Genomic DNA, 21771 nt, shown 5'->3' with positions numbered 1-21771 from the left:
GTAGTTTCAGCCACTTGGGAGACTGAAGAGACTGCAGTGAGCCATGATTGCACCACTGCACTTCAGCCTGGGTGACAGAGCAAGACTCCATCTCTTAAAAAAAATATCCTCTAGTGCAGCTCTGTGCTACCCTGCTCCATTTTTCTGGGGAACTGTTCCTCCTCTGGCTCTACTCTGACTCTCCCCAAGCTCTAGCCAAGGGCCTCACCATGTGGTCTGGGGACCAGCAGCATCAGCTCTGCCTGGGAACTTGTTAGGAATGCCAAGCCCCAACCCAGACTTCCTTCTTGAAATCAAAATCTGCATTTTAACAAGTTCCCCTAATGTGTGCACGTTAGCATTGATAAGCACTGCTCTAGCAATCAGAATTGAATGACGGGTATTGCCTGTTGCTTTTTTGGCTACAGTGATTAGCGTCAGTCAGTGTGTGTCAGGGAGGGGTTGGTGGTTTGGGGGGTGGCGAACAGGCATGTGACCCAAGCTGGTCCCAAATCTTCTATCTCCAGCAACCACAGTAATCAGCCTTTGGCTTTTTCACGTCTCCAGTGAAGAGCCTATTCTTTAACGGTGAATCTGAAGTTTAAGGTCATATCTATTGGTGGCCTCTCCTTACCCCCAATCCAATCTTCAGTAAGAGAGAATCAAGCCAGTACAGAGAGTAGCAGAATTGAGAGGGACCAAAGAAGGAAAGGGAGGAAAAAAAAGGTGAGTTATATCACTTTTCAAGTTTGTAGTTACAGAAAGAACCCTCAGGTTCTTTAATGTCCTGGTTCATTCCATCCTAAGGCCAGGTGCTCAACTCCTCTAACAAGTCTCTCAACCTCTATAATATCTTTCTAGTAAATCGCCTTTTTGCTTAAGCTAGTTTGAGCTGGTTTGATTAATTTTCTAAGTGGTCCTGATGAGTGCCCTTGCAGTCAGAGGCTGCGGCCTCCAGGGCCCATCCAGGGTGGGGGACGGAAATGGAGTAGGATTCTCAGCAACTCCCTGTTGATGAGTGTCCTATCCCTGACATCCAACTCCAGGACATGGGGCAGTGAAGCCATCACTTCCACTTCAGACTTCCCTGCAAGTGCACTGAGGTTAACCCTTCTCTTGAGTGATGGAGTCTACCCTGCATGTGTGGGAGTATACTTTTTATATGTGCTGGAGTATATGAGACTTACAATATGTCTCAGTCTGATATATTTTATTCACCCTTACCTGTAGTTTACTGTTTTATATTCTAAAAATTTATATCATATCATTTTTGAGAATTTTTTTCTTGTGATTATTCTTTAAAACAATTTCTTCTCCCCATTTTCTTCATTTTGCTTCTGAAGCTCCTATGAAGTAAATGTTACAGCTTCTTATCATCTCTTAACATTCCATTGTGTCTTGTCATTCCATATCTCTTCATTTATTTTTTGTATTTCTCATCACTTTATATCTCTGTGCTTTACTTTGGATGATTTCTTCAGAATGATCTTCCAATTCACTAATTCTCTTTTGAGCTGTGTCTGGTTTATAGCTTAACTCATCATTAAAAAATTATAACTATTTTTTCCTTCTGGAGTGCTTATAGTTTCCAATTTTGTTCTTCATGTGCAATGCCCTCTTCTTTCTTTGAAAACTTTAAACATACTATTAATAAAGCTCTTTTGGTTTGTGCAGCAGCTCCTGGGATGTAAGTTCCACCATTTGTTGTTGTTTGCTAACTTTCTCTTTCATAATGTTTTGGTTTACTTTGTGATTTATAAGTTTTGACTTTGGGATCACTTTTAGTGGGTGTTTGTTTTGTTTTTAAAATACTATCTGTGTGGTACTGTAGAGATGTTCCCATGGGACAGTTTCATGTTTACTTCTGCCGGGACTGTATGTGTTTCCCCAGTCTCAGGTTGGCTTCTCTGTTAATTTCTTAGCTCACAGTTTTGGTTCTGTTTGGCTAATGTGAATTTGGACTCCATACTTGCACATGGCATGAACTTGAGGTTCCAATTTCTAACAGGTGACTTTTTCTTCTCATATCCCAAGGGTGGGTGATTTCTGTGCCATAACGCTGGTCTGATAGGCAGAGTTACTCCAGTCTCCTTTGATGTGTGGGAAGGCCCTTCTTGGATTTCCACCTTTATATAGAGAGGTACAGTCATATTTCCAGTAAGGTGGGAGGCCTACAGACTTAACCCAGCCCCAGGATATGTAGTTAATTCTAGTAGCCCGGTGGGAAGTTTGGTTCTTCATTTCTGGCACCTGTCGCCTTCCATTCCTTATTTTCAAGAACAGTATGTATTTTCTTTAAACTTGTGTGGAATTTTATTCAGCATTCCTATCATATTTGGAGCAGAACAGGGACAGAATTTCTCAAGCCAATGTGGTCTACACAGTGATGGGAAATTTCAGAGACAAAGGCTTTTTGTATGCCCCAGGACCCCAGGGGGGTGATCCTCTCCTAAGGAAGCTCAAATGCCATGACGTCATTGGACATCAATTAATTCACTTTTCAAGGCTCTGGGCACTGCCTCTGCCTCAAAATTGTGCTCATCATGGCTATGCTTTCTCTTCCCCCCTTTTCCCCTGGATTACTGTGAGTGTGATGCTTATTATTCTTTGTCTAAGTGATTGAGGAAGCCAGAGCTTCTGAATGAGTCCCAGAGGAAATAATCCCATTTGAAATGGGTAACATTCAAGCTATACCCTTTGGATCTCTCAGCCCCTAGTTCCTCCTGCTTTGATCAGGAGGCAGTGTGGATCAGTGAATAAGGCATGATAATTTTTGAAGCCAGAAAGACAAGGGTTTGAACCCTGCTTCCACTATTTATCAATAATGGAGCCATATGCATCTTCTAGAATCTTTGGGATCCTTAGTTTCCTTATCAGGAAAATGGACATTTGAATAGCAACTTTGTGAAACTGTGGTGGTAGCAGGAAAATGAGATGATATGAGTTGAGCAATCAGCAAAGAGGCTGGCATGAGAGAAACTCCTTGATTATCTTTTCTTTCTTGCCATACCCTTCCTTCAAAAAGGACAGACGTCAGTTTATGGGAAATCCTTTGAGGCTTGAGTCTAATCTCTCATGCTGCCAACAGACATAGACTAAAAACATCCTTCATATTTTTTACCAAATCACAGTGGACACAGCGACTAGTCTGACTGCATTTCAGAAAATGTTATTAATAGTCTCTAAACCATAAGAGTTACAGGGGTTATTTTGAAAAGCACTAAATGCATAATGATTTATATAGATTTTATAGATTGAATTCAGCCATGTCAATTTCCTAATGCTGTGAATTTTACTGCCTTCTTTGTTTTCGCAGCTGCTCCTGGCTTGGGGAAAGTGGCGGCGGGGAGGGTCTGTATTATGGTGTAGTTGCTGCACTTGACGTTTGGGTTACATAAAGATTTTCCCAGCAGGCTAGGCGTGGTGGTTTACACCTGTAATCCTAGTGCCTTGGGAGGCTGAGGCAGGAGGATTGCTTGAAGCCAGGAGTTTAAGACAAGGCTGGGCAACATAGCGAGACCCCAGTCTCCACAAAAAATACAAAATTAGTGAGGTGTGGTGATGCACACCTGTAGTCCTAGATACTTGGGGGGCTGAGGCAGGAGGACTGCTTGAGCTCAGGCGTTCAAGGTTACAGTGAGCTATGATTGTGCTACTGCACTCCAGCCTGGGTGACAAAGCAAGACTCTACCTCTCTAAAAAAAATTTCGCCACCAATTCCAAGTTCAAGGCAATAGTCTTTCAATCCAAAGTAAATGCAAATGAAGGAATTGGAAAATTAAGCTTACAGACAAAGTGAATGATCCTATCCACATATTTAAGTCTTACATCCTCAAGCAAAAGTTTTCACTACACTGCAGTGGCCCTTCATTGATGGGCCCTAGAGCCAGATTGCCTGGGTTTAAATCCTGGGTAGGATACTGACTTGAGTCGGCTTCCTTAACCTCTCTGTGTCTCACCTTCATCATTTATAACATGGGATACTAATATTCACTCCTTATGGTTGTCGGGTGAATGAAATGAACTGCTTTGTGTTAGGTGCTTAGGTTAGTGCCTGGGATATAGTAAGTATTCAATAAATGTTAGCTACTATTATTATTAGTGATCTTTTTGGAAGTACATATACCCCTCCTTAGGAAGGCTCAATAGTCAACCTGTCCTAGTAGGTCACAGATTTTGGTGGTGGGCCGTTGTGGAACCAAATCCTTACTCTTTCACTTATTTGTTATGTGACTTGTGTAAATTATTTAACCTCTATGAATGTTTATGTCTCATATGGGTATAAGGCATATCTTAAGGAATTATTGTGAAGGTAAAATGAGAGTGTATGTGGCAAAATGCAGTGTCTGGCTGCTGTATAATTAACATTAGTTGCTTTTTAAATTTTTATTTTTATTTATTTTTTAGGGTCTCACTCTGTTGCCCAGGCTGGAGTGCAGTGGATTGATCATAGCTCCCTGGAGCCTGGAACTCCCAGGCTCACGTGATCTTCCTACCGCAGCCTCCCAAGTAGCTGGGACTAAAGGTACACACCACCGTGCCAAGCTAATTTTTTAATTTTAACTTTTTGTAGAAACTTTAACTTTTGTAGGCTGGGTAACACAGCCTGCTATGTTGCCCAAGCTGATCTCAAACTCCTGGCCTGAAGCAATCCTCCTGCCTTGGCCTCCTAAAATGCTAGGATTACAGGCATAAGCAACTGTGCCCAGCCATAGTTACTTTTATTTATTTATTTATTTTTGAACTAACGCAAAACTCACAACGTTTGAGGAAATCCGCCTTTGTCATGTCGTGACAGAAGTTTCCCCTTTTATCCTGTTTTATTTTCTAGCTCCATATAACTTTTACATATTGTTCCTAATTCTACTTCTTAAAACCCATCTAATACGTTTTCTGTTTAGAGAGACAATCAAATGTTTGTTGCTTCTTGTAGGAGTTCATTTTGAGCTCCCTCATCATCCTCATGGACTCTCACCTGTGTCTCTCTTAAAATGTGGCCCCACATAATATTACTAGTATTATCCAGTCATTGCAGAAGAGAACAATGCTGTCATATCCTTAATTCAAATTACTACAGTTTGTTACATAACTGGATTACATCAGATTTTTGGGTGGCTGTATCATGCACATAACTCACGGTAAAGTTATAATCCATCAAAATCCCTTTCCCACCTGTGGCATTCGGGCTGCCCGCCCCCGCCCCTGGCCCCAGCCACTGTTCCTGTATCTTATAGATCCATGTGGATACCTTACATTTATTCCTATTAAATTTTCTGTTCTATTTGGCCCTTCTTTCCAGCCAGCCAGTTGTAGCCAATAGCTGTCTTGTGCATGGATTTAGAAGTCAGACACATCTGGGTTTGAATTCTGCCCTTATCACCTCCTAGCTGTGAGATCTTGAGAAAGTTAATTTTCCTCTCTGAGCCTCAATTTTGTCATCTACAAAATGGAGATAATAACACCTATCTTAAAACGTTATTATCAGACCTTTTGGGATCCTGATTTTAACACATACGATATCACTATGCTCTCTGATTTTGTGTCATTGATAACTTTTACAAATGTAAGTTTTATGATTTTACCAAAGTCATTGATAAAAATATTGAACCAGACAAGGTGATGGACTAAGCCCAGTTATAAGTCCCGAGAAATTTCCCTTTGGGTTGACTGAGATAAGGGACACACATCTTTGGGGCCATTATTCTAACCCCTACCTGCCTTACTTTCAACTCTTCTTTCTCCATTAAAGCCTCTTCCATGATGAGATCAGCTGCTTTGCTGGAGTTCAGTTACACAGTGTCCACCACACATTCTCCCGCTACCCCTCAGGAATCCTCACCCACAAAGGAAATGGCGCTTGATTGACATGATGTATCCTCAGAGAACGTGAGCTGCCTCCTACTAATCACTACCTATGTTAATAACTAATTAATGTTTTTCAGTTTAAGAAAAAGTCTCCAATTAATAGGTCTGTTATTGCATCATTAAAATATCACAAATAAGTCTTAGGAATCATCTGGCATCTGTGTCTGTAGCTGGACAACTCTTAGATCATATTCATCAGCCTGCTGAACTGTTCCTGTTACAGAGACATAGATGGCACCCCAAAATTTTCTGTTTTTACTTGTTTTTACTGTTGCAACTTGCTGAATCAGACCTGCTGAGCTGGAAACAAGCTCAACGTCATTTTCTTCAAGGATTAATTCATCTCTCTTGGCTTGAGATACTGAACAAGCAACACCTGGCCTCATCTGAACCCTGCGGATGTATTTTCCACCCAAGAAATTTCAGATTTCAACAAGAGACCCATTCTTCTGGATAAGGATGTTGATGGGGGAAGTGAGCAGCCTCATCTTCTGAGGGAAGCCCAGTGAAATGTCCTTGATCATGTTCTGTGCATGAGTCTACACGTAGTGTGAAGAGTAGCCACCTCCTTCCTATTTTCCTACCATTTTGTCAACCCAGAGCTGCTTCTTTGTTTGCCAAGGAGACTGAGTTCTACATTGATGCAGCTGAAGCTCCTCTGCAGGGTTCCCCTGTGGCCCTATACAATTAACTGCATCTCTTCGGAGGGATGTTGACAATTTCTGGAACATCTATAGTCTGATTTCTGCGAATGGTCTTCATTCTTGCAGTAGATACGGCAAAAGCCACTTTTGTTAATTTAAAGGCTCACAAACCATTCCGTTTGGAACCATTCTAGTACCTGACCTGGGATCAAAATCATGCATACAAGTGTGAATTCCTCTTCCCTTGCCTGTCTCTATTCTGCTCTCCTTTCTCTACAAAGCTCCTCAAAGAGCTGTGAGTCAGTAGCCTCACTTGCTAGTTCTGTTGATACCCCGGAGCATCATCATTCAGAACGAGTTACCTGGATGCCTGCATTTGGAAGGGCCAGGCATTCTCTCGCCCCCATCTCTGTCTGGACTTTCAGTAACCCCTCCTTTCCCTGCTTAGTCTTTTGAATTCTTTGACACAAGAGGCACGATCACAATCAAAGGCACTTTGCTTTCTCTTTTACGTCTTCCAACATTGTCCAGGCCACTACAACAGTCCAGGCACACAGAAAGAGCTCCATTTGCATCTGCCAGATGCATGAATCCTATCTGAAACCAAACTGATAGTTCCAGTAACCACTCACACAGGGAGATGAAGAGTGCGAAGGAAATATTTATGTGGAACATGAGCAGGAGTAGGTGGAGGGGCAGCCACGTGCTATGTGGCAAACAGTTGTCTTGTGCATAGACATAGAAGTCAGACACATCTGGGCTTGAATTCTGCCCTTATCACCTCCTAGCTGTGAGATCTTGGGAAAGTTAATTTTCTTCTCTGAGCCTCCATTTTGTCATCTACAAAATGGAGATAATAAAACCTATCTTAAAAAGTTATTATCTGGACAGGCACCGTAGCTCATGTCTATAATCCCAACACTTTGGGAGGCCAAGGTGGGAGGATTGCTTGAGCCCGGGAGTTCAAGACCAGCCTGGGCAACATAGTGAGACCCATGTCTGCAAGAAATTAAAAAATTAGTCAGGTGTGGTGGTGTGCACCTGTAGTCCCAGCTACTCCTGGTGCTGAGGAGGAAGGATCGCTTGAGCCTAGGAGTTTGAGGCTGCAATGAGCTATGATTGCACAACCGCACTCCAGCCTGGGTGACAGAGTGAGACCCTGTCTCAAAAAAATATTTAATTTGATATTGTGTCTAAAGATTGCTGACATGTATAAGAGCTACAAAAGGGGTATTGGTACTGCAAATGCTCTTTACTATGATAATTACAAATTCCTAGGTACCAAGGCTGATCATTCTCATGCTGTAATGTCTTGGCACTGCAATTTTTATTCCCTGTCACCATTTCCACTGCAGAGTGCCTGTGTAGTGTCTGCTGGTGATAAGAGCTGTGATGGTTGATCATCCAGGCCCGTATTCTCTGTTATGGGGGATTCTCCCTCTTTTAATGATTTCTTCCCTCTCAATGATTCTAGAATTCAGCTATCTTTCCGTAGCAGCCAACATTATGCAGTCCATTAAATCTCCCTCTTGTTAGTATCCGTCTGCCTTAGGAACAACTGGACCAATCCAAGTATCTTTTGGTTTGCAGTGCTACTTTGCATTCCACAATAACTTCAACAAAGCATCAGGTGGACTTAAACCCAGGGCTGCTAATTAGCAGTGAGTTGCACAATTGTTTATTCTTAGTTACTTGTGGATGGAGAAAATGACAGTAATGATCACAAAATATCTGTCTTTTGTGTTTAAAGAATACTTGGTGGGTAAAGCATAAGAAGGAAAGGTAGTTAAAAAATCAATCCTACAAAATTAAAATTTGGCTTATGCTGATGTGCACGTTGGCTTGGCCCAGCCTGATGGGAGTTGACCATGGAATTGGTCATCCCTCAGGAAGTGTGTTTCGGGGCCCTGCACGGGATGAAGAGGTGCATTCCCTCATTGTCCCCAAATGGAGATGGAGGTGGGACATTTTCTTCAATCCCATGGCCCTGATGCTACTCATGTGCTCACTCAAAGACTAACATCCAAGGCTGTTTCTGGGTGGCAGGAAGCATTTTTCTTTATTTCTTTTAAGAAAGAACAGCACCTCGTGGTTTGGCGTAATCTTCAAGAAGTAATCTAGTTCTCCAGGTTCTCTTTCTAGTCTTGTTTGTACAGAGCTTCAGAAGGGGAGACTTCACAATCACCTTTAATAACCCATTCCCCAAGGATCATTGTCACAACTATTGGTTTATGCACTAAAACAGCCTGTCAGAAAGGATGGTGGCCTGGCACACTGCAACCGTTAACACAATGTGCGTACAAGAACAACCCATGCCAATGCCAGGCCCAGAGAGGAGGAGTTCGGATTTGGGTCAGGAGCTAAATGGGGGACCTTAGAGAAGTGAGGGGAGCTTTTGAATGGGGAGTGCAAAGAGAACATCAAAAAGAACTGGGTGAGAGCAGCTCACACTTGCATGGAACCAGTTTTCTTTTGGCGGTGCTCTGCCATCTTTCATTCTCCCCCAGCTGGTTGAGGGAGACACACCTGGTCGCTGGGGCATCTCCCACATGGGTAAGGCCCTCCCCAGCAAGGCTAAGTAAAAGTTCAGCTGGGTTCCAGGATAGGCAGCCTGGTTAGACAGCAAGGGAAGGCCCTGCTCTGGACTGTGAGTGGGGCTGTCTTCTGAGGTCAGACCCAGGCCAAGGGCAGGGGTGGGAGAAGACCACCAATTTCAGGGTCCAGCCCCATCTGTATCATGTACTAAGGACATAGGAGGGGCCTAGAGGCTCACACGGCTCACACACACCATTAGCAGGCTTGTAGATCAGATAAGCACTGGAGACTCTAGTCCTGGCTGGCAATAGAGACTGAGTATCAGCCTGGTGGGTCCGCTGCACTTATTTATTCCTCCAAACTGAGCACAGCAGTAGCTGTCTAGCGAAGGATTATGGCTATTTCTTTCCTGCAGAGAGTGACTAACAGGCACTGTGTGCATCTGGGCACAATGATGCCGGAGGGTGTTGAGAGAGGCCTTTGTTCCATCTGGCAGCTCACTCCACAGGGCTGTGAGACAGGATCCCACTTCACAAGACGTACCAGGGGACATGCGTGCTTTGGAAAAAAACAGCGCTTAAGCCGAGCCTCAGCCTCACAGCCATTGCGTGCTCCTTGCTCCCTGGCCAAGGCTGCAGCTCTGACAGTGATTTGACATGATGAAGAACAGATGAGCGCGTGGTTGGTTGGGTCTTCACAATGTACTCTACCCCCGAGACAAAGTAAACAGAAGTCTTCACATAAGCTCGATACGGTTGATTCACAGGATCTGGCAGCACAGGGCATCTCTTTCCAAGCGAAAGGTGGAGCCATTTGAAGGTCACCTTGGAGGTGTGGGTTAGTCACCATTTATTATGGACCCCTTTCCAGTTCAAGAACAAAACTGAGCTGCCTACTTTGTTTGCATAGATTTATCCCATGATGTATGTCTCAGGATTCTATTTTAAACTACCAGCTATTTTGTTGTTGTTGTTCTGAGATGTTTTGAAAAGTCTGTTTTAACATCTTCTTACATCACTGTTTCCAATGAAAAAGTGCTCATAATGGATGGAGACTGACTTTGATCCACTCTGCTCTGCCAAATGGGTACAAAGAGCAAACAAGGGCTGCAAACTTGTATGTCTGGGTCTGCCTGGGCTGCCATAAGGAGGCACCACAGACTGGGGGCTTAACACATTCTTATTTGTTCACGATTTGGAAGCTAGAAGTCTGAGATCAAGGTGTTGGCAGTGCTGTTTCTTCTGGGTTTCTCTCCTTTGCTTGTAGATGGCCATCTCCTCACTGTGTCTTCCTACCATCACCCTTCTGTGTCTTCATCTCCTCTTCTTATAGGCACACCTGTCAGACTGGATCAGAGCCCAAGGACCTCACTTTTACCTAATTACTTCTGTAAAGACCTATCTCCAAATGCAGTTACATTCTGAAGTACTGGGGGTTAGGGCTTCAGCATATGAATTTGAGCATGGGGGGGGGACACAATTTAGCCCATAACACTCACATAAGAACACAGTAGGCTGGGAAGGCATGCCCTTGGCTGACTCCCGCCTTTAGGAAGGCATGCAGCATGGAACCCAAGCTGCTGTGCAGGATCCGCAGCCCTTCATATGGGAGCCCCAGCTGGTGCACACAGAACTTCAGCATTCTGGTTGGGATGAGGGCAGAGTAGTGAGTAAGCCAGGTAGGATCTGGAGTCCTACTTGGGTGCAAATTCTGCCTGTGACAAATGACAAGTTGTTCAATCTCTCTGAGCCTCAGTTTCCCCATTTGCAAAAGGAACACAGTCATTATGCTTACCTGTCAGGATGACTGTGCGGTGGAAGTGAGATAGAGTACGCACATGTGCTTAGTACCACACCAGCACGTGGTGAGTGCTGAGAAATGTGGCTCTTCATAATGACATGTAAAGACTGTCTTGACCTTGGGAGAATCATCCCAGGCTGTGAAAGGGCCTCGTCACCATGCTTCCTGTCTTTAATTCAGCTTTACTCAGCCATTTTCTTGTTCTACCCACACTCCATTCTGAAGGCTGTCAAGCTCAATATTGTGCTGAGACTTCCTGGTCACTTGGGTTATTCTTCTCTCCATTGGCTTCCAATAAACAGAAAACCGGTTTCAGCTACAGAGTGAATATATCTAATGATGATTCTCAGTAGAAAGGTTTAAACAGCCATTAGTTACTCTTACTCTAATTATAGCCCCTTCTCTGTATCACCAATGTGCTTAGGCATCTGAGAGCAGATGGTCAGCAAGAATAAGGAGAAGACAAAGTTTAGGAGGAAGCCTATTTGTTGCCTAAAATGATTTGGTAGGCCCCCTCGTTTTGGGGGAAGCCATGGGCTGAGAAGGAAGCAGGAATGTTCTTTAATGTGCAATGGATTGAAGCCAATGAGGAATCCCTGCCATTGAAATGTTAGTTAATATGTTCTATATGGGAAGGGAAGGCAAATGTTCTGTTAGGGTAGGGCTCTGTGTGGCTCTTGTGTGAGGATCAAAGACCACAGAGGAGACCCCTCTAGGTAGTTGAACCATGAGTCACTTAATGAGCCAGGTTCCAACTTATGTAGCCATTGCCAAGTGTGATCATTTGTTACCTGAATTGAGTTATCCTATCTGATATGCTGCCAGTCTAGGAAAGTCCAACTAATGTGCCTGTGAAAGAAAAACACATCCCTAATTTGATGGGATGGAGAAAACATAATGAATGGAGCAAAGCCAAGGTCTGAGAAAAGAACCTTAAATGGGACCAATTCACAAATTAGCATTTTTAGTTTTTATTCTCCACTGTGAGGCAGGCTTTGGCCATAATCATTTTTTCTATTCTAGACCCACCCTGTAAGCAGCCGACCCAGGCCCACTCCACAGGCAGCCTGGTATTTCCCAGACATTTTGCCCATGTTCACTTGGGTGCTGGGCTCCTAGCCCTGCACGATTTCAGTGAGGTTCTCCACTTCCCACCATCTGTGAAGGTCTGTTTGAACACCATGCCGATGTTCTTCTCTGACTTACTGACACACTCAGCTCCTGGCTCTCTGTCCCTCACTCTCTGGGCCCTCAGACTAGCAGGGAATCAAAAATTGTAAGCCTCATGTTCGTCTCCCCTCTGTCTTCCGATTTCTGTTTTAAAACCCACCTAAAAAGCTGTTATGGACTAAATTTGTGTGCCCCCTGTGAAAGGGCAATAAATCTTGGGGCCCCAAAATCACTAACCTAAAGGGAAAAGTCAAGCTGGGAACTGCTTAGGGCAAACCTGCCTCCTATTCTATTCAGTCACCCCTTGCTCCCTGAGATAGATGCATATCTGATTGCCCCCTTTGGAGAGGCTCATCAGAAACTCAAAAGAATGTAACCATTTGTCTCTTATCTGCCTATGACCTGGAAGTCCCCTCCCCACTTACAGTTGTCCTGCCTTTGCTTGGAGCCATCCCACCTTTCCAGACTAAACCAATGTTCATCTTACATATATTGATTGATGTCTCATGTTTCTCTAAAATGCATAAAACCAAGCTGTGCTCGGACCACCTTGGGCACATGTCATCAGGACCTCGTGAGGCTGTCAGGAGCGCACATCCTTCACTTTGGCAAAATAAACTTCCTAAATTGACTGATACCTGTCTCAGATATTCAGGGTTCACACCGCCAAAATTCATATGTTGAATCCTAACCCCCAGTGTGATGGTATCAGAGAGGCACCTTTGGAAGGTGATGAGGTCATGGCGTTGGGGCCCTCACAGTGGGATTAATGGCCTGGTAAGAGAGACAAAAGAGAGCTTGCTCTCTCTGCCTCATAAGGGTACAACAAGAAGACAGCTCTCTGCAAACCGGGAAATAGGTCCTCATCAGACACTGGATCTGCTAGCACCTTGATCTTGAACTTCCCAGCCTCCAGAACTGTGAGAAGTACATATTTGTTGTCAAAGCCACCCAGTCTATGGTCATTTGTTACAGCAACCTGAAAGGACTAAGAGGCCAATCAAGTCCCACAAAAAGTTATCTTAGGAGAAAGAAATGCGAATGACAACTCAGCTTTAGTTTTTTCTCTTTTTTTTTCGTTTTTTTTTTTCTTTTGAAACAGAGTCTCGCTCTGTTGCCCAGGCTGGAGTGCAGTGGTGCAGTCTTGGCTTACTGCAATCTCTGCCTCCCAGGTTCAAGCAATTCTTGTGCTTCAGCCTCCTGAGTAGCTGGGACTACAGGCCCGTGCCATTGCACCAGTCTAATTTTTGTATTTTTGGTAGCAATGGGGTTTCACTATGTTGGCCAGGCTGGTCTCAAAATCCTGACCTCAGGTGGTCACCAGCCTTGGCCTCTCAAAGTGCGGGGATTACAGGCATGAGCCACCGCACCCGGCCCTTTTATTTTTTTTTCGAGATGGGGTCTTGCTTTATTGCCCAGACTGGAGTGCAGTGGCGTGATCGTGGCTCACTGCAGCCTCCAACCCCCAGGCTCAGGCAATCCTCCCACCTTAGCCTCCTGAGCAGGTGGGACCACAGGCGCATGCCTCTATGCCTGGCTAATTTTGTATTTTTTGTAGAGATGGGGTTTCACCATGTTGCCCAGGCTGGTTGTATACTCCTTGGCTTAAGCCATCTTCCCTCCTCAGCTTCCCAAACAACTGAGATTACAGGCGTGAGCCACCGCGCCCAGCTGTTTTAGTCTTTCTTTTTCCCAAGTGATGCCGCACATCCTCCTTTTAGAGTTAATAACTTCTTTGTCAGCCATTTCCTCTCTCATTTCGCAGTGTCGTTTGCCTTCCAGAAAACAAATATAAAACCATCAGTCTTGTTTGTCCTAATTTCTATCCACAGTGTATTGCTGCATCCTTGCAGGCATACCATTTCTACTTGGTTATGATGAGAGAACAATAGGAATCTGTACTGAAGTTGATAGACAGGGTGGGAGGAAACAGTGGCACCCTTTGTTGTGTATTTTCTTTAGTAAAGTTCAGTTAGCATTTCATAAGACTTTGGGCTAGAACACAAACCCACTTCCAATGCCAATAATTTAGAAGAGTACTAAAGTAAAGGGCCAGAAATGTAGAAAACGTTTTTCTACCTATGCAGCACTGATGTAAAGATGCCTTTGAGTCGTGCTGAGATGGCCAGTGTGTCTGGGTAAAGGGATTCCCCTTTGGGCTAGAGATTCTGGCTATAGCACACGGCTGTTTGGTGAGCTGCCTCTCTTCCAAAGCTTCCTAGCCAGAAAACAATGACATCTGACAAGTGCGGTCCAGCAGCCTCCAAACCACACCATCCTGTCTCTCCCTCACTCATTTCACTGCCTGCTGGCCTCTCCCCATTACCTTCATCCACAGGGACAGGGAGGACACTCCCCCTCAACCCCCAACCTACCGCCGGCCACACAGAGCCCTGGTAGCTGGATTTAGTTTCTCTCATTGGACTGTGGATGATGGTTTTGTGAAGAGCCAAGGGCTGGGATGACATTAGAGAAGGGCACCATCATCCCTGTGAGAATGGCTCTGGTCTTTCCCCTTTCCTCTTAAACAATTGAGAAACTGCTATTTTAAGTTATGAGTGTTCAGAGAAAGCCCAGCATTGAGGGGAAGAGGAACACCCCCAAACTCCCCCTGGGTGCCCACATCAGCCCCTCTTGCCCTCCACCTGCTTCACTGTTGATGCCAGTGGCAAGAGGCCAGATGCTGGGCACCAAATGTTATTTATAGCAAGGCCCTAGCTGGATTCCATTAACATCCAAATAAGAGTCTTCCTCATTTTTCATTTAATAAAATCGCTATTTTTCTGCATGACATTTTATTTTTTCTTTGGCACCTGCCAGGCCTGCAAGCCATTTATAAAGCAGAAATACAGGCATAGAACGTGACCTGCCTGGAGAATAAGTCTGCTTGAATGAGAGTTGTCGCAATAGAGAGGTGTGTTCTGTTTGTTCTCCTGTGCATAATCCTCCTTGTTAATTACCCGTTATGTCTTCTGTCTCAGGCACTGGGCCAGGTCCTGGTGATAGATATGGATCAACAGGACACAGCTCCCATCTTCATGAAGCTTTCTACTGAGTTAGTTAGAATCCATGTACAATAAGCTGTAATGTTATCTAGAATGTGTACTCTGCCTTATACACAGTAGAGGGATACTGGGAGGGTCTCCCACACTGAGCTGCCCAGCACTGCCTCTGCTACACGACCTTGCGTGACCTCCTCTAGCTTCTAAGTCTCTCTGTTCTGAACATGCACAGATTCTGGTGAATGAGTCTCACTGTGGATGAGAAAAGACAGGCATTCAGAGCTTATCTCAGGTCCATAGCCGCATCATGTTGGAGGACCGGAAATATACTAGATTTCAGCATTTCTGAAATTGAAGAGGCTTAATTTAGCATTTCTCTTTACAGACTGGCTATAATGAGAATTTGTCCTGATTTCTGTTGCATTAAAATATCCTACTTAATTAACTGTAAAAAGGGGTGATAAAATGCTGAGTTGATGACCATTACTAGGTCTCATAGCAACTACCTACCCTCTCCCAATGTTGCCTCATATATGATGAAGAGTGTGGGCTCTGGGCTTGGACCACCTGAGCTCATCTTCTGACTCTTTCATTTCATAGCTGTGTTGTGTTGCGCAAAGGATGAAAGCTGCTGGTGCCTCAGTCTTATATGGAAATGAAGAAAATAAAGGTACCTACTCTACTGAGTTCTTATTCGGTTTACATTATTTAATATGTGCACAGTGCTTAGAATAGTACCTGGCACATATTAATACTAAACAAATGTTAGCTAGCAGCAGCAGCAGCAGCATCTTCTGTGCTATATATATATATATATATTTTTTTTTTTTCAATACTTACCAATGATGTTTCATTTATCAGAGTTGACCTGATCGGAGAACATACTGCAGGAAAACTGACTATCTGAGGTCAGGACCTGAGTGATGTGTGTCTGTTTCAGGATATGTGTTGTGTGTGTATGTTTGTGTGTGTGTGTGTGTCTGTCTGTCTGTCTATCTACCTACCTAACTACCTACCTACAAGCCAACCCACCCACCTATCTATCTCAGCTGATGTAGGAGTTTTGAGCATCCCTCTGTCTCTGCAATATTGAGAAAAGAATCTGTGTTCTCTTAACTAGGGGTGACATAAAATAAGGAATTCAGGGGAATGAAATTGATATCTTAATGAATGAGATATAGGCTGAGTATTCCTTATCCAAAATGCTTGGGACCAGAAGTATTTTGAATTTCTAATTTTTTTTTTTTTGGGATTTTGGGATGTTTACATATCCACAATGATGTTATCTCAGGGGACGGAACCCAAGTCTAAACAAGAAAACCATTTACGTTTCTGATACACTTTGTACACATAGCCTGAGGGTAATTTTCTACAATATTTTAAAGAATTTTGTGCATGTAACAAAGCTTTGACTACGTTTTGACTGTGACGCATCAAATGAGGTCCGGTGTGAAATTTTCCACTTGGGTCTTGTCGGTGCTCAGAAACCTTCAGATTTGAAGCATTTCAGATTTTGGATTTTCCGATGAGGGAGGCTTTCAGAAGGGTTGTGGCAATATATGTCACAAGGTGGTGAGGGTCTGGAATAGAATAGGAGTGGGTGGGAATGTGGTATATGAAGAAAGAAGTAGGGCATTGATGGAGAACTCATTCTTTTTCATTTAATGCAAATAAAATCCCTCTCTAGTATTCTGCATGGCATTTTTTGTTCTTTGGCATCCTCCAAGCCTGCATGCCACTTTTAAGACAGAAATAGAGTCCTTGAAATGCAGAATTCTGTCTGCTTTTGTATACAACATTGAAGATTAATGTTTGTGAGGACTAGATAGACAAGGACTAGGGGCAAAGTCACCAGCCAGGGTGTTCTTCCTCAGCAGTTGGAATCTGCACCATCACAATCGCCTTGGCTTGGATGGCTTTTCCAAGTGTGGTTAGGAGATGAGCAGAGAAGTGCATTATCCTACTGTCAGCAGGGAGCCCTGGCGTCTCGTGCCCTGGCCTTGGTGTGCTCACTCACAGACATTCCTCTTTCCTGAAGTTACTATCCAGGGATCCCACTTGACAATTGATTATGTGCTGTTTTCTGTGAAATTTCTCGAGTTTCTTTGTAATGTTGTGCATGTCTCTATGTAGCTGTTTTCCTAAATGGATGATCCTATCCCTGGAAATACCAGACCATGTCTTATACCATTTGGTATCTTCTCCCATCCTTCCTAATGCCTGTACCAGTGTCTCTATGTGTTACAGCACTGAGAAGGCAACGAACAATCCACAAAAACCAGGCTGATGAATTAAAAATCTCTTTGGTGACGCTGAATACACAGACTGTGCAGCGTGTTGGTGAAATGGAGAAGAAGTTGAAGACCTCACAAAACGGTCTTTTAATTAAGATTTTTGTATTTGTTCTCCAGCTGCCTGGAAATTCCAATAAGACAGTTTTAATTAGAACCAACGTTCACATTTCCCCCTGAGAACTATCAACATTTCGCTAACCCCAATTTTTAAGAATCAAGCTATGGAGACCATAGATAACTGACTTTGTATCTGTTTTTCCTTTTAAAAGTGGAGTTCAATGCATGTGATGGTTTTTTTTTAACCAAAACACTATCCAGCATGTGGCCTATTTTGTACACAAATGCTACCATGTGCAGCATGTAATGAGTATGCGGTCCACAGTCACTTGTGCTGGTCAGTCTTACCTTTTGCTTCATCTGGATGCCTCCGGGAGCTGGATTGTGGCACCCTTAAGCAGGGGGACTTTCCAGACTGTGTGTATTCCTCCCAAGCCCTCAAGTATCCTAAAAATCATTTCATGAATCCTCCATCAAGTCCCCATTTCTCCATTCAGATGCCCCCGATTCCTTCCCTGCTCCAGACCCTCAACACCTTGTGCATGATGAATTGTAGCAATCCTTCTGAAGGCCTTCTGAAGCCATCCTTCTGAGGCCATCCAGCCTTCACCTGACCTCTTGTGAAGTCTTGCATAATTTAGAATCTGTATCACGTAATTTATAACTCAAATTTTCACGATCCTGAAAGATGGAGTATTATTTTGTGATAGCAGGATGTGCTTCTGGCCTTCCTGCTGCCTCTTCAAAAATGCTCAGCACAAACCTAAGTTCTTGGCTACTCCAGATAGGGGGGCAGGACAGACTGCTGGAATTGTAGGGAGGCTCGTGGGAGGGGGGTTGCCTGGGCTTGCGTTCCCTGCATCCCCTGTACCACTCACACCGGTGTGGGCCCTTCTGGGCAGTCATCAATAAAGAAAGTCAAAGAAAGCCATCGCCAAGCTTCTGAAGACTTATAGGCAACAGCCTGTATAAGGGATAGTAAAAATAAGTAGACACAGCTGGCAGTCAGACGTCTGGGTTTGGAAATAATGATTCAAATCGATGCATTGAAGGTAGGAGTGCCAACTCCAGAGAACCAGGCAGGGACAGCTGGAGTGAGCCCATGCTGGCAATTCCCTGAATGCAGCAGGTGTCAGATGATGACATAATGCACACATGATTCAATAATGGATTAGGGAATACAAGGAAAAGGTGACAGAAAAGCAAGAGAGGGATCCGAGGAGTGCCGACCAGAGAGGCAGTTCATGTAGCCTCATTAGTAAAGCCCCCAGGGGCTGTGACTGTCCTGCGCGGGCTTCCAAGTCCACCTGAGAGTTCTGATGCTGTGCTGACCCCATGGCACATCAGGGGCAGCGAGCCTGCTGTCCACACTGGCTGGGAGAAGCAGCAGCCAGGCAAGAGAACAACAAACAGGGGCAGGCAGCCACCCACCAAGAGGACATGTGGAACCAGGCAGCACGCCATTTGGAAAGCAAGTCTATATGGGAGTGGTCACTATCATGGAAAGGAAAAAGAATGGGAAAACCTGAGATTTAAGAAAGACCCAATGCTGTTCTAGAAGCATCTTCAGAAAGAGCAATAAAGCTTCTTTGGGGAAGTCACAGGACACAGACTCTCCAGGGTGGAAGGGATCTTGAAGAGCACAGAGGCCAAGTCCTCATCCATCTCTCGACTTCCTTCATGACTCATCTGAAGACGGCTGGATTGGTCTATGTCTGTACCCTACCCTCACCCCACAATCCCAGTCCACCCTATCTCAGAACAATTTCAAATGCAGGGGAGGATCAGAGATGAAGATGTTACTCCAAAAGTATACATGCAAAGATGTTCTGGAAGTGCTACTTCTTAACTTGTCTGGTCTTATAGTCTGTGGTTGAAGTGAGTTTCTCCACTTCTAGAACGCTTTAGGTCTTGTTTCCTGTCCTCTTTGAAAAGTTTTATTAATAATTACGTGCTGCCCTTCTATTACTCCTACTTTCCATACCCTGGAAAGTATACACGGTTCTAGAATATTCCATTAGGAGGGCCAGGTAAGGATTCTTAAATATGAATGGATTTTATCATTCTCTGCCTGTTGTCTTCACACATTTGTTTCTTTCTTTTTTTGAGACAGAGTCTCGCTCTGTTGCCCAGGCTGGAGTGCAATGGCATGATCTTGGCTCACTACAGCCTCTGCATCCTGAGCTCAAATGATCCTCCTGCCTCAGCCTGTCAAGTAGCTGGCACTACAGGCATGCTCCACCATGCCTGGCTAATTTTTGTATTTTTTTGTAGAGACGGGGTTTTGCCATGTTGTCCAGGCTGGTCTTGAACTCCTGGACTCAAGCGATCCACCCACCTTCGCCTCCCAAAGTTCTGGGATTACAGACCTGAGCCACTGCATCTGGCCTTGTTCTCTTCACACATTTCTTAAATGGAGCTCAATCCCTGCACTCATTAATTGAAGGTCAAGGAATTATCATTATTCACTGGGATCATGGTACCAGATTGATTTACTAGCAATATTTTAGTTTTTCTTTGTGTACAAAGTCTATTCATGATATGATAAAACCTGAGACACAAATCTCAATGAATGAAGTTCTTGCTTTCGGCAAATGTATTATTATTAAATAACATCAATGCATAATAAATAACATTTTAAAATTTATAGCACCTTTTACATTTTCCCTGATGGGTCTCAAGGGACCTCACAAACACCTGTTCAATCAAAGATAACAGAAAGAGCATTATTTCTCTTTCACAAAACGAAAAAACTCTGAACCAGAGAAGGTGAGACATTTACTAATAATTCTGTTTTCAGTTTCTGTATTACTAGTTTCCACAAGAGTTCAGCAACAAGATTTCAAGGACTTTTCTTTTTAACGATCTGAAAATGAAGAATGACTCATCATACTATAGGTGCCCTGTATATGCTTCAAAATAAGTGTGTTTTTTGCTCAGTTCTTGTGCCTTCTCGGACCCTCATGACAACAATAGGAATAAACCTACGTAGAAAGTCTATCTCAGTAGTAATGATTGGGGCAACCGAATGGACTCGACTGACTCATATTTCCCACACATCTTTAAATTTATAGCTGGCCTCTGACTATTTTAGAAAGCCTATGATTTGAACTTCATCCAAGTTTTAACAGCAATAAAATTCCACAGGAAATGGGTTCTTTAGAATCCAAGAAATGCACACTTAGGCTATTGCCTACAATCAAATTATTCTGCTGTTGGAGTTGTGTTGCTGGAGAGAAGATGATCCCTTCTTCCCAGAAGAGGCCATGTTTTCCCATATCACAACATGCATAGAATTGGCACTGGTCAACACTAAACCTTCTATAAGCATGATGAGGACAACTTCTGAGCAGCATCATCAAGCTTGCCTCTCCTGGGCCACTACAACACCTGCCTCCCACCTTGACAAGCCCTGCGTCAGGCAGGCATCATCCCAATTTGGCCTTGCAAGTTGTTACACGAACATCCTTCAAGAGTGATGCCTGAAACAATCAGTTGCCTTTTTGTCTCGCAAAAAGCCTTTGCTCTCATCTCAGCTTAGAATGTCCATCCATCACAGTTAGCAGGGCTGGGCCAGCACGGACCTCCAGAATGTGCAATGAGCTTTGTAGGCAATTACCACTTTCTCCAAGGGCTCTGTAGGATGAGGGTGAAGTGAATGTCATTGGAACGGTAGCATTGTGGTCTAAAAGCTGCATTCTGCCACAGATCAACATGATGAAATGTTTAATTTAGCCTAAAATTATTTATCTGTATCACCGGCCATGCCTCAACCACATACCCCTCAATATGTAAACAACAATAGATTTATCTGTTTTATTTCTGAGAAGATAAGATAACCTGAGAATTTCTTTATAGAATTTGTAGAATGGACCCTCTCCTTGAGGCTGGTGGCTTCCCTTTCTGAAGCCAGGATGATTTTATGACTCACTGGCAGAAGCAAAATGACTCTGAGATGGTTTCTTGGTGTGGGAGGAATTGAGGCAGGGGGCAGGTGCCAAAAATTTTGCATAACCAAAATGAACGAAAACAAAATCCACATGTAGGAATGAAGGTATTAATCAGGAGGTATTAGTCTTCATGTATTAGTGAGAATTTTTAATCCTTGTAACTCAGTTTGTCCTAGAAGAGCAAGTGGACAATGGGCATGGGTTTGTGGGCTTTAATGAAGATGTGAAGGTTAGTGTTTTGGTCCATTTAGTGTTGCTATAAAGGAATACCTGAGGCTGGGGAATTTATAAAGAAGAGAGGTTTGTTTAGCTCATGGTTTGCAGGCTGTACAAGAAGCATGACACCAGCACCTGCTTCTGGGGAGGCCTCCGGGAGCTTCCACTCATGGCAGAAGCGGAAGGGGAGCCAGTGTGTGCAGAGATCACGTGGTGAGAGGGGAAGCAAGAGAGAAGGTTGGGGTGCCAGCCATTTTTT

At 43.9% G+C, this 21771-nt stretch overlaps 1 protein-coding gene, 2 long non-coding RNA genes and 1 pseudogene across 4 annotated transcripts in view; 1 reads left to right on the top strand and 3 right to left on the bottom strand.

Moving 5' to 3' along the window:
* The window catches only part of SLC35F3 (solute carrier family 35 member F3), a 419836-nt gene that overhangs the window by 32934 nt on the left and 365131 nt on the right, over positions 1-21771 (bottom strand). The window lies entirely within an intron of this gene.
* On the bottom strand, positions 5922-6627 carry RPL9P10 (ribosomal protein L9 pseudogene 10; annotated as a pseudogene).
* LOC105373206 (uncharacterized) lies at positions 14749-18515 on the bottom strand. Its single transcript, XR_949283.4, has 2 exons — positions 17695-18515; positions 14749-17410 (listed from the first exon to the last, which is right to left on the bottom strand). It is a non-coding gene; the product is annotated as an uncharacterized LOC105373206 (long non-coding RNA).
* Positions 18556-21170, top strand: SLC35F3-AS1 (SLC35F3 antisense RNA 1). The gene is made up of 2 exons (NR_183711.1): positions 18556-19376; positions 20147-21170. It is a non-coding gene; the product is annotated as an SLC35F3 antisense RNA 1 (long non-coding RNA).

This window comes from Homo sapiens, chromosome 1 (assembly GCF_000001405.40).
Source record: "Homo sapiens chromosome 1, GRCh38.p14 Primary Assembly".
Lineage (NCBI taxonomy): Eukaryota > Metazoa > Chordata > Mammalia > Primates > Hominidae > Homo > Homo sapiens.
Note: the sequence above shows the minus strand (reverse complement) of the source record. Positions and strands in the feature narration are given on the sequence as shown.